Raw genomic sequence first — 13872 nt, 5'->3', positions numbered from 1 at the left:
CACTGCAAGCTCCACCTCCCGGGTTCACACCATTCTCTTGCCTCAGCCTCCCAAGTAGCTGGGACTACAGGCACCTGCCACCACGCTTGGCTAATTTTTTGTATTTTTAGTAGAGACGGGGTTTCACTGTGTTAGCCAGGATGGTCTCGATCTCCTGACCTTGTGATCCACCCGTCTCGGCCTCCCATAGTGCTGGGATTACAGGCGTGAGCCACCACGCCCGGCCAGTCCTTAACTCTCTTAAATCTAAGTAGACTTCCGATCTATGTGCATCTAATCAGATCCTAGTATGAGCAGCCATGCCCACAATTACTTTTGAGAATTTGCCAATTTTCTATTTATTTGTGTTCTCATTTCCATGCCTTTCTGTTTCAATTTAAAAGTGGGGAAAGAGGTACCTTTAATATATTGGGAACTGAAAGAGGAAAACTACAATGTTTTGAGATTTTTATGAAAGTATGTTAATAAATTGCTGGATTTTAATGAGTATGTTATTTTAAAAGTTTTTTTTTTTTTTAGGTGGAGTCTCACTCTGTCACACAGGCTGGAGTGCAGTGGCACTATCTCAGCTCACTGCAACCCTTGCTTTCCAGGTTCAAGTGATTCTTGTCTCAGCCTCCCAAGTAGCTGGGACTACAGGTGCACACCACCACGCCCGGCTAATTTTTGTATTTTTAGTAGAGATGGGGTTGTGCCATGTTGGCCAGGCTGGTCTTGAACTCCTGACCTCAGGTGATCCACCTGCCTCGGCCTCCCAAAGTGCTGGGATTACAGGCATGAGCCACCGTGCCCAGCCTAAAAAGTCATTTAAAATCTAATTTTTCTGTTCTTACTTCTTCTTTTTACTTGCAAACTGGTCCCTTCTTTAGTTCTCTAATTTCATTCTTGTGATACTTGACTGCTGCAGACAACAGCAACCAACTTCATGACCGAGTCTCTTTCCCAAAGTCTTTTTAAGCTGCTGGCTCAGAAAACATGTGGTTCACAATGTAGTGAAGGCAGCAGCATAACCCTATATTTCACCACTGTGAAAGACAGATGGCCGGCTGGGTGCAGTGGCTCACGCCTGTAATCCCAGCACTTTGGGAGGCCGAGGCCGGGGCCGGGCAGATCATAAGGTCAGGAGTTTGAGACCAGTCTGGCCACGCTAGTGAAAACCCGTCTCTACTAAAATACAAAAAAATTAGCCGGGCATGGTGGTGTGTGCCTGGAATCGCAGCTACTCGCAAGGCTGAGGCAGGAGAATCACATGAACCTGGGAGGCGGAGGTTGCAGTGAGCCAAGATCACGCCATTGCACTGCCACCCTGGCGACAGCATGAGATTTTGTCTCAAAAAAAAAAAAAAAAGAAAGAAAAAAGAGAAAGAGAGAGAGAAAGAAAGAGAGGCAGAGAAAGAAAGAAAGAAAGAAAGAAAGAAAGAAAGAAAGAAAGAAAGAAAGAAAGAGAAAGAGAAAGAAAGAAAGAAAGAAAGAAAGAAAGAAAGAAAGAAAGAAAGAAAGAAAGAAAGAGAGAAAGGGAGGGAGGGAGGGAAAGAGGGAGGGAGGGAGGGAGGGAAAGCAAGCCATCCATTTAGGCTCACATTATCAGTGTCTCTGTTGCCAGCCCCACTGCTGCTAATGTCACACATTTTTGTTTTCATGTAATTGTAGCATGCTAATTCTGCAGTGATTTCTGCATTAGATTAGACTAGGTTATATTGTGGTAACAACTTAACCCAAAGGCTCTGTGGCTTAACACAACATTAGTTCATTTCTTTCTCACATTTCACAACATCCTACACATATTGGTAGAGGCTTCTCTGCTATACGGTTTCTCAGAGACCCAGACTGCTAAAGTTATGACCTTCCTAATAAACTTTTTGTTGTTTTTATCCCCCCCTCAACATTATTCTACTAGAACCTTTGATCAACAAGTAGTCTATCTTTTTAAACAAATTCTATCTAATATTATTTCAAACCATGGGGATAGTTGCACAGTGAAAGTGAATGTACATATGGCCTAGAGCCATCATTTTTAAAAATTATAACAAAAAAGTCAGAGAATGAGGTCAACAAGCTCAGAAGCCTTCATGTCAAGAGTTAGAAAGTTCTCCCAACGATGGGATGACAAGAGGTTACAATCACGAAAGTCACGCAGTGCACCAAGCACAGAATACAGGCCACAAGGAAACCCAGCTGAGCATGGATGACCAGTTTTGATCTGCTCACAGAAAGGTTGACCCAAACTACAGTATTCTCAAAACAAACAAGTTTTAAAATATCAAACATTCTTGTATCATTTAGACCAAACAATAAAGCAAACTCCCCAGCTCCTGTCTCTATCTTCCACAAGAAATGTCTTGTAGAAAATCCATAATCACATGAGGTACAGTGGATACCACCAAAATAAGGGTTATTATATTAACTGTAGCATCCTGAACCTGCCCCCTTCTTCCAAATTCTCATTTAAATAATTTATGCAAAAGTCCATTTTTCACAAAGATGCCAAGAATACTCATTGGGGAAAGGATCATTTCTTCAATAAATGGTGCTGGGAAAACCAATAGCCACATGCAGAATAAGAAAACTAGACCCCTGCCTTTCACTACATGCAAAAATCAACTCAAAATGGGCTAAAGACTTAACTTATAACCTGAAACTATGAAACTACTAGATAAAAACATAGAGGAAAAAAACTACACAACATTGGTTTGGGAGATTATTTTTTTATTTGACCCCAAAACACCCAGGAAACAAAAGCAAAAAGAGACAAATGGGATTACATCAAACTAAAAAGCTTCTCCTCAGCAAAGGAAACAATCAACAGAGTGAAAAGACAACCTACAGACTGGTAGAAAATGTTTGCAAACTATACATATGATGTCAAGGGGTCACTATCCAAAATATTTAAGGAACTCAACTCAATAGCAAACCCAAACAAATAAAAAGCCAGCTTAAAAACTGACCAACAACATGAATAGACATTCCTCAAAAGAAGACATACAAATAGCCGACATGTACATTAAAATGCTGAATATCAATAATAATCAGGGAAATGCAAATCAAAACCACAATGAGATATCACCTCACCCCAGTTAGAATGGCTATTAACAAAATGACAAGAAATAACAAATGCTGGTAAGTATGTGTAGAAAAAAGAACTCTTACACACTGTTGGTGGTAATGTAAATTAGAACAGCCATTATGGAAAGCACTATGATGGTTCCTCCAAAAATAAAAATTGAACTACCCTATGATCCAGCAATCTCATTACAGGGTATATATATCCAAAGGAAATGAAATCACTATGTCTAAGAGGCATCAGAATTCTCATATTTATTGCAGCACTATTTACAATAACCAAGAAATGGAATAGACCTAAGTGTCCATCAGTGGATGAATGGATAAAGATATGTGGTTCATATACACAGTGCGATAATATTCAGCAGTAAAAAAGATGAAATCCTGCCATTTGTGACAGCAAGGATGAACCTAGAGGAAACTATGTTAAGTGAACTATGACTCACACAGAAAGACAAATACTTCATGATCTCACTCATATCTGGAATCCAGTTGATCTCATAGAAGTGAGATTAGAGTGGTGCTTACAGAGGCGGAAGGGGAGAATGGAGACAGGATGCTCAGGGGAGGGGAGAATGGGGAGATATTGGCCAAAGGATACATAATTACATTTAGATGGAAGGAATAAATTTCAAGACATCTATTGAACAGCAAGGTGACTATAGCTAATGATAATATATTGTATGCTTAAAAAATGTAAAGAAAGTGGATGTTATGTGCTTTGACCACAAAGTAACTATGAGAGGTAATGCATTTGTTAGTTGTCCATATTTGACCATTCCACAAGATACATATACTTAAAAGCAGAATGTTGTACACAATAAAAAACATAGAATATGATATGTCAGTTAAAAATGCACAATCATAGACAATATATTAAATGGTGAATTAGCAGGTTTTCCCCTCCATTTAATACTTCCACTAAGGGAAATTTAGCTCTTTTGAAACTTGTGGTGGTTGTAAAAAAATGGGCCACAAATGCTTTGACACTACTTCCGTCTAGAGGTGGAGGTGGAGGTGGAGTCTATGCCCCTCTTCTTGAAACCAGGTGGACTTATGACTGCTCCACAGGATGACTGGGATGCTGGGTGGCATCTGAATCAAGGTCACAAAAGGTATTCTGCTCTGCCTTGCTCACAAGGACACTCACTCTATAAATCTAAGCCACCATGTGCAACATCCCACCTGAATTCCACTCTGTGGGGAATCCCAAGCCACATGAATAGAGAGGACTCCTGGTGACAGTTTGAATCTTTGGATCATCCCTGCTCAGGCATAAGACATAAAAGAGAAGGGAATTCTAGATGATTTCAGCCCCCAACTATTTGACTTACTCTCAGCCATTGATGTCTTCCCAGTTGAAGCTCCAGACATTACGAAGCACAGAAAAGTCTTTTTTACATGGGTTCATACCCACTGTGTCCATGAGCATAACAAGGTGGTTGCTCTTTCGGGATAGCTTGTTACACAGCAATCAATAATTGGAACACACCTCATAATTGAGAGCTTCATGTGGCCAAGGTGTCATGGAGTTGAGTGGGATATTTTATACATTAAAGTTCTCTTTGCAAATGGCCCAGGAAAAGAGAAAAAATGTTTTCATGATGATACGGTTTGGCTGTGTCTCCACACAAATCTTATCTTGAATTGTAGTTCCCACAATCCCACATGTGGGAGGGATGTGGTGGGAGGTAACTGAATCATGTGGGTGCATTTTTCCCATGTTGTTCTGGCGATAGTGAATAAGTCTCATGAGATCTGATTGTTTTATAAAGGGCAGTTCCCCTGCACATGCTCTTTTGCCTGCCACCATGTAAGACACGCCTTTGCTCCTCCTTTGCCTTCTGCCATGATTGTGAGCCCTCCCTAGCCATGTGGAACTGTGAGTCCACTAAACTTCTTTTTCTTTATAAATTACCAAGTCTTGGGTACTTCTTCATAGCAGTATGAGAATGGACTAATACAAATGTGATATACTGCACAGGGAGAATTACTCAGTTTTCTCAGGTCAGAGAAGCTCTTCTTAAGATGCAACTTTTCCTTATTGTGGGTTGTAGGGTGCTTATATTTTCTAGGCTCTTGACTTGCTTCTTGAAAAACTCAGGCTTCCTATTTACCTTACTTCTTAAATAATAGAAAATTAGATTTCTATTTCCTCATTTAATTTAAATTGGCCCAATAAAACTGAAGCCCACGCCGGGCGCAGTGGCTCACGCCTGTAATCCCAGCACTTTGGGAGGCTGAGGCTGGCAGATCACAAGGTCAGGAGATCGAGACCATCCTGGCTAACACGGTGAAACCCCATCTCTACTAAAAATACAAAAAATGTGCTGGGCGTGGTGGCGGGCACCTGTAGTCCCAGCTACTCCGGAGGCCGAGGCAGGAAAATGGCGTGAACCCGGGAGGCGGAGCTTGCAGAGAGCTGAGATCGTACCACTGCACTCCAGCCTGGGCAACAGTGCACAAAAAGCTGAAGCCCACTAGTTATTTGGTGGTGGATGGAGGATGGAACAATGTTTACATTGACCACTAAGGTACTGATCAAGTAAGACTTACAAAGCTTAGATGGAGAACATATGCAGCAAGATGCTGTTATGGGAAAATCTTCCCTTACTCTATAAACTTAACCACTATAACCCACCTACCCCCAAATTCCTTAAGAGTGTTCTTCGTCACAGAGAGACAGACCCTAGAAAGATCCCTGCAGTGCTTAAGGAACACTGCCCGAACTTTGCAAAGGCCTTCCAAACAGAAAGGGTGGTCTGAGGTCTCCCAATCTCTGCACTCCCTCTTCACTTGACTACTACCAGATTTGTTGCAGTGTGGGAGGGTGAAATGCAGAAATACAAGTCTGGATAAAAATTTTCTTGCCAAGGATGTAGCTAAAATACTCTTGCTTGGAGCATTCCATAGTGTTGAGCAGTCTTGGTCCCCATCTTTGCCTCCAAAAATCTTTGAAAGAAGAAAGAATCCATCAAGTAGTGAAGCTCAGATTTAGGTAATCACGGAAACTGTAGTTGTTATATTTATCATGATTCACATTTCCTTACATCTTCTCACCTCCATAGGTCTTTAATCATTCCCTTGAAATTTGAGCTGCAACTAATTGCCCACATTGATTCAGACATTTCTAGGACCTTATCCTTTACGCTGTATCTACACAATGGACTGTATCTACACTATTATTTCAATTCTTTGGGAGTATATATCCATCTTTGGGGAGATGTCTATTCAGCTCCTTTGTCCATTTTCAATGTGTTTTGTTTGTGTACTTATTTTGTCCCACGGCTGTTCAATGGCTGCTCATATAACTCTCATTTCAGATAATTTTTCAGCAAACCTTCACAGGTGTGGCTATTCTTAGAATAAAATAACCACAGAAACAAAACACATTGAAAATGGACAAAGGACCCAAAGATAATATAAAAGGACCCAAATGTGACATTAAAATGGTCAATAAGTACATGGAAAAGATGCTCAGCGCCACTAATTATTAGGGAAATGCAAATGAAAACCATAATGAGATATCATCTCATACCAATTACAGAAAATAACGAGTGTTGGTGAGGATGTAGAGAAATTGTAAATTTTGTACATTGTTGGTGAGAATGTAAAACGAAGAAGCCACTCTAAAAATCGGTCTAGTGATTCTTCAAAATATTAAAACTAGAATTATCATATGATCCAGGAATTCCACTTCTGGATATATATCCCCAAATAATTGAAATAATGGTGTCAGTGTTATATTTGTATAGTCATGATCATAGCAGCATTACTCACAATAGCCAAAAGGTAGGAGTAACCCAAATCTCCATTGATGAATTCACAGGTAAACCAAAGTATCCAGCTGTATAATGGAAGAAAATACTGACACATGTTACAACATGGATGAGTTCTAAAGACATGTTGCTAAGTGAAATAAGCCCATCACAAAAAGATAAATATTGTATGATTTCACTTATACAAGGTGCCTAAAGTAGTCAGATTTATAGATGTAAAAGTAGGATGGTGGAGGCGGGGTGCTGTGGCTCAGGTCTATAATCCCAGCACTTTGGGAGGCCAAAGCGGGAGGATCACTTGAGCCCAGGAGTTGGAGACCAGACTGGGCAATATAGTGAGACTTCACCTCTACCGAAAAAATAAAAAATAAATTATCTGGGTGTGGTAGTGTGTGCCTATAGTCTCAGTGACTCTGGAGGTTGAGGTAGGAGGATCACTTAAGCCCAGGAGATTAAGGCAGCAATGAGCTATGACCAGGCCATTGCACTCCAGCCTGGGTGACAGAGTGAGACCCTGCCAAAAAAAAAAAAGGTAGGATGGCAGTTGCCAGGGGCTGGACAAAAGGGATTAGAGTTATTGTTTAATGGATACAGAGTTTCAGTTTTGAAAGATGAAAAGAGTTCTGGAAATGGATGGCAGTGATGGTTGTATAATAAATTGTGAAATTAAAAATGGTTAAGATGGTAAATTTTATGTTATGAGTATTTTACCACAATTTTAAAAAATAATTTAAAAAACAACAGCAGGCACAGCATGGGCAAATAAATCAAGCTAGGAATAAACACGATGTATCATGGGAACCGTAAGGAGCCAACTTCTCAAAACATGTGAATGTGCTTCAGAACGAGGGGAGATATTGTAGACAGGTAAAGAAAAGTCACGGAGAAACAGGCTACATTTCATATAAATAAGGTAAGAAATTAGATAGGAACTAGTGTTGGTGAGAATGTGGAGAAATTGGAATTCTTGTACATTGGTGGGCTGTAAAATTGTGCAGCCATTTTGGAAAACAGTTTGGCAGTTCCACAAGAAGTTAAATATTGAATTACCATCTGACTCAGCAATTCCACTCTTATATATAGACCCAAGAGAAATGAAAACATAACCACATCAAAACTTGTATATAAATTTTCACAGCTGGCCAGGCGCAGTGGCTTACGCCTATAATCCCAGCACTTTGGGAGGCCGAGGTGGGCAGATCACGAGGTCAGGAGATCAAGACCATCCTGTCTAACACGGTGAAACCCTGTCTCCACTAAAAATACAAAAAAAGTAGCCGGGTGTGGTGGCGGGCGCCTGTAGTCCCAGCTACTCGGGAGGCCGAGGCAGGAGAATGGCGTGAACCCCGGAGGCAGAGATTGCAGTGAGCCGAGATCGTGCCACTGCACTCCAGCCTGGGCGACAGAGCAAGACTCTGTCTCAAAAAAAAAAAATAATTTCACAGCTATATTATATATTTATGATAATCAAAAGGTGGAAAAAACTTAGATATCAAGAAATTGGATGAACAAATAAGTAGAATGTGGTATATACATATCACAGAACATTATTTGGCTATAAAAAGAATGAAGACTGGGTGCAGTGGTTGACGCCTGTAATCCCAACACTTTAGGAGACCAAGGTGTGAGGTGCTTGAGCCCAGGAGTTCAAGACCAGCCTGGCCAGCATAGTGAAATCTTGTTTCCACCAAAATGATGTTTTTTAATTAGCTGGACATGGTGACACACACCTGTATAGACTATAGGTGTGTGGAGGCTCAGTTACTGAGAAGGCTGAGGTGGAAAAATCACTTGAGCCCAAGAGGTAGAGGATGCAGTGAGCTGTGATCACACCCCTGCACTCCAGCCTGGGCAATAGAGTGAGACCCTGTATAAAAAGGAAAAAAAAAAAGTATTGACATGTTATACACCATGGATGAACCTTAAAAACACATTTTTTTTTTTGAGATGGAGTCTTGCTCTATCACCCAGGCTAGAGTGCAGTGGCGCCATCTCAGCTCACTGAACCTCCGCCTGCCAGGTTCAAGCGATTCTCCTGCCTCAGCCTCCCAAGTAGCTGGGACTACAGGCACCTGCCACCAGGCCCAGCTAATTTTTGTATTTTTGGTAGAGACGGGGTTTCACCATCTTGGCCATGCTGATCTTGAACTCCTGACCTTGTGATCCACCTGCCTTGGCCTCCCAAAGTGCTGGGATTACAGGCGTGAGCCACCACGCCAGGCCAAAAACACATTTTTGAGTGGAAGAAGACACTCGAGATCAGATATTTTATGATTCCATTTACAGGAAATATTCTGAATAGGCAAATCTATAGAAAGGTAAAAGTAGACTTGTTGCTTAGGGCTAGGAAGGATGGGGGATTAGGGAATAATATTAAAGGGTAGTGGGGTTCTTTTTATTCTAAATGTTCTAAATTTGTTTTAAATTTGATTCTAACTTGATTGTTTTGATTACTGCATAGTGCTGTGTATATACTCAAAATCACTAGGTTTAAATGGCTAATTATATGGTATGTGAATTTAAATGGTTAATTGTATGATGTGAAAATTTAAATAGTTAATTGTATGATATGTAAATTTAAGTGGTTAATTGTATAGCATGTGAATTTAAATGGTTAATTGTATGGTATGTGGATTTAAATGGTTAATTGCATGTTATGTGAATTATATGTCAATAAAGCTATTACAAAAAAAAAGGAAAGAAAAAAGGCCATGGGCTTAGACAAATGGAGGGGCAGGCAGAGGGAGAAAGCCCAGTGACAGCCTTCTGCAGCCTGCAGGCACAAAGAGGATTACTTGGTTTTCCCCCCAAAATATGTGCAGGCTTCATGCAGACTTTTCCAAGCCCAGCCATAAATGTATTCCCCTTCCTCTCCAAACCCCTGTCATGCTATCTTCTATCAACTACTACTTGTTACCGAGCTTATTCTCAGTAGCAAAAATTAGACTTGAAAGTGAGTTTTCACCAGAGACACTGATTTCTTTGATGACCACCGCATGTTGAAAGTTAATCCTGTATTATGATAAATCACACAGCATGTCTTCAGCAGCTTGCCTCAGCCCTTAGCATAAAGAGGCCTCCAGCAAACACCAGCCAATCCTTGAGGGTGAGGCTGTCCGGGTGCAACTCAGACCTCAGGGCCCATAATAGCGCCTCATGGGCTCCAGCTGTCCTATTCATGAGCCATCGTCGGGTATCATTGCTTGCCAGTGCCCATCTCTACTTCAGGGTACACGTGAGGTCATTCATTATTAAGCATGTATGCTCATGCCACTGTCACATCTACAGGGGAACCCAGTGCCCCTCAACCAGAAGGAAAATGTGGAAATAGAAAGAAGTGGACATGGTACATGGTTTTGTGTCAGGCTACGTGCTGTTCATTCCCAAAGCAACCAAGAGAAACCAGCCTAGGAAGAAGCATGAGTTCAGTGGGAGGATGAGGAGGAAAGCCAGGAGGGTCAGTTACCTGCATGAGTCCACCCTGAGGGGATGCATACCATGAGGTCACAAAGGCCCACAAAGCCTTTCCAAGTTGTCATCCCACTCGATGACTGTTTCCACTTTTGTTCTCAGAAAGGAAATCTACATGGATTGGATGCTACATTTCCCCAGAAAGTTCAGTTTCAACACTTACAAAATAGATGCCCCAATATGCATGCACTAGCATTTGCCTGAGTTCCACCACAACAATATTCCTGGGGTCAGAGGCTCAGACCATGAAAGTCACCACAAACATACCTGAGAATGGACCAAACAACCTCTGTCCTGCTGCTTAGATATTTGAGGCTTCTTGGAGTGTGTTTGTTCCTTTAAGCTCTCAACTCACTCTTTGCCAAGTTCCAATCTGCTTTTAATTTTATATCTATAAACAGATGATCAAGTCTGATGTTTCCTACAACCTTGTCCAACAACCCAGTATTCCAACCCAAGTCACAGTGGTGAAAAGCTAGACAGCAGTGGAAGATAAATGAAGGTGGATTTAAATGAGTCTTTATGTACAGAAAAAAAAATGACAAAAATCTTGAGCTCAGGAGTAGTTTTGTCATCGTCAAAGAAAGAAGTTATCAAGGTGAAAGTCTAGAATGAATTCAGTCCTGAACTAGAGTGTAGATATTAGCATAAATATGTTTATGTTTTAATCTATATGTGTACATAAATTTAGACATAGATAGATACAGATATAAATACAGATATACAGGCTTACATAAGTACATACATACATTTCCCAGATTTTTTTGCTGAGAGGTCCAAGAAACACTACAGTGTCAACAAGCACATCTAGTTTTGAAATACCATTCTCTAATTAAAAACAAACAAGAACAAAAGACAGAGCTACTTGGAGAAATACTTCATTCTAGGGCTAAGGCAGAAAAAAATGCAATATACTGCTGAAGCATCTTTGCAGTGTCTGTAAGTAAGGAAGTACTAAACCGACAAAAACAAAAAAGCAAGCAAACCTCAATGAGTCCATAGTGATATAAATAAGCAACTGAATAATCAAATAAATAAATAAATAAGACACATAATAGATGTCCCAGAAATAAATCCACATATATACAGTCAAAATCTTCAACAAGGGTCCCAAGAATACGCAATGGGAAAAATATATAGTCTCTTCAACAAACGGTGTTGAGAAAATGTAATATCTACATGCGAAAAAGTAAAAAATAAAATTGGATTCTTATTTTACACTATATACAAAAATCAACTCAGAAGAGAATAAATATTTGGACATAAGACCTGAAACTATAAAACACTTAGAAGTAAAAGGAGGGGGAAAGCTTCATGACATTGGTCTAGATCTAGACAAAGATTTCTAAAATATGACACTATAAACACAGAAAACAGAAACAAAAATAATGTGGGGCTGCATCAAACTAAACTCCTGCATAGCGAAGGAAACAGGATGAAAAATCTATGGAAGAGGAGACAATATTTGCAAACCATATATTGAATAAGGGGCTGATATCGAAATATACAACATATTCCTACAACTTAAGAGAAAAAAGAATTCCCCAATCCCAAATAATCTAATTTTTAAACGGCAAGGGATTTGAATATACATTTCTCCAAAGAATACATGCAAATGGCCAACAGGTGTATAAAAAGTTGCACAGCATTATAAATCATCAATTAATTGTACATCAAAACCACAATGAGACATCACCTTGTATCTGTTACAATGGCTAGCATCAAAAAAAGGCAAAAAAAAAAGGAGAAATCACAACCTTCATACACTGTTGGTGGGAATGAGAAACAATGTAGCCACAATGGAAAACAGTACGCAGGTTCCTCAAAGAATTAAAAATATGAGTACCATATAATCCAGCAATCCTACTTCTGGGTATACATACATAAAATGGAATATTACTCAGCCTTATAAAAAAAGAAATTATACTATTAATGACAACATGGATAAACCCTGAGGACACTATGTAAAGTTACATGAGATAATCACAGAAGGATAAACTCTGCATGATTGCACTTTTATGAGGTATCTGAAATGATCAAACTCATAGCAGCAGAGAGTATGACTGACAGTGATTGCTGCGGGGTAGGTGAGGGGAAAATGGGGAGTTACTGTTCAATGAGTATAAAGTTTCAGTTATGCAAGATCAGTAAGTTCCAGAGATCTACTGTTCAACACTAAGCCTACAGATAACAATACTATATTGTGCAATTAAAAATTGTTAAGACAGGCCAGGTGCGGTGGCTCACGCTGGTAATTACAGCACTTTGGGAGCCCCAGGCGGCCAGACCACTTGAGATCAGGAGTTCAAGACCAGCCTGGCCAACATGGTGAAACCCCATCTCTACTAAAAATACAGTAAACAGCTGGGCATTGTGGCGGGCGCCTGTAATCCCAGCTACTAGGGAGGCTGAGACAGAAGAATTGCTTGAACCCGGGAGGCAGAGATTGCAGTGAGCCAAGGTTGTGCCATGGTACTCCAATCTGGGCAACAAGAGTGAAACTGCGTCTCAAAGAAAAAAAAAATTGTTAAGAGTGTAGATCTCAAGTTAAATGTGGATATGACAATACATATACAGATAAGTAGGAGCAAATCTTTTTTAGAAAAGAATTCCAAATAATAAATAAAAAAGAAAAGGAATTAGGAAATTACCATGATAACACCATAACACAAATCACCAAAGACAAGATTCATTGATGAATGTTGAAATTAATTGGCAATGCATTAGGGATAAACAAGGTGTTTATAAGACTAGAAATATCTTCCCCCAGATATTATTTATTGGGGTGGTTTTAACATATTCTTGCTAAATTACTTGACAGTCTTTCTTCCAGAAAATGAAGCCTAATTCCTCCCTTCTGTTTGTGTATAGGATGGGCTTGCTTCTAACATGCAGAGGATGGACAAATAAAGCATTAGCTTTGCAGAGAAAAAATCTGGCAGTCACCATCTCAACCAAGTGATCAAGTTCAACATCACCAGTGAACATCATGTTGACACCATGTATCCTTGACATAGCACAATGAGAAAGACACTTCACTTCTATGAGTTTCTTCCCAAACTCCATATCCCACACTTCTGCTTTCAACTCCGACATGTAAATAGCTTGAAAGTTGTCACTCCTATTCTGGTAACAGTAAAAAGCTGGAGGAACTGAAAATAAATGACTTTTATTGGACCCATCGGGGAACCAGGGTCATAGCACAAGTATGCACCCAAAATATGGAGAGACAGGCAGGCCCAAAGAGATACAGCTACTAAGATCTCGTGATCAGGAGCAGAAGGTGATGGAGCCCTAAATGGGCAGGAACACTTAATAATAGTTTTTACAGTAGCTGGAAGCTGAGTATGGACTGGCATGACAGTGGAGAATCCTGAGACCACGGTCTTGGAAGGGACTTTCACTTTCAGGAACTCTCCTTCCAATGCTCAGATCCTTCTTTACAAAAAGTCATTTGGAGGTGGGAGTACCTTGCCAGGGACAATTTAGAAAACTCATCCTAGCTGATAGGGGCAATTTTTCCTTATCACAGTATCCCTCACCCGTTCTGTGTCACTTAAGA

Source organism: Homo sapiens, chromosome 15 (assembly GCF_000001405.40).
Source record: "Homo sapiens chromosome 15, GRCh38.p14 Primary Assembly".
NCBI lineage: Eukaryota > Metazoa > Chordata > Mammalia > Primates > Hominidae > Homo > Homo sapiens.
This window is presented reverse-complemented; position numbering follows the sequence as displayed.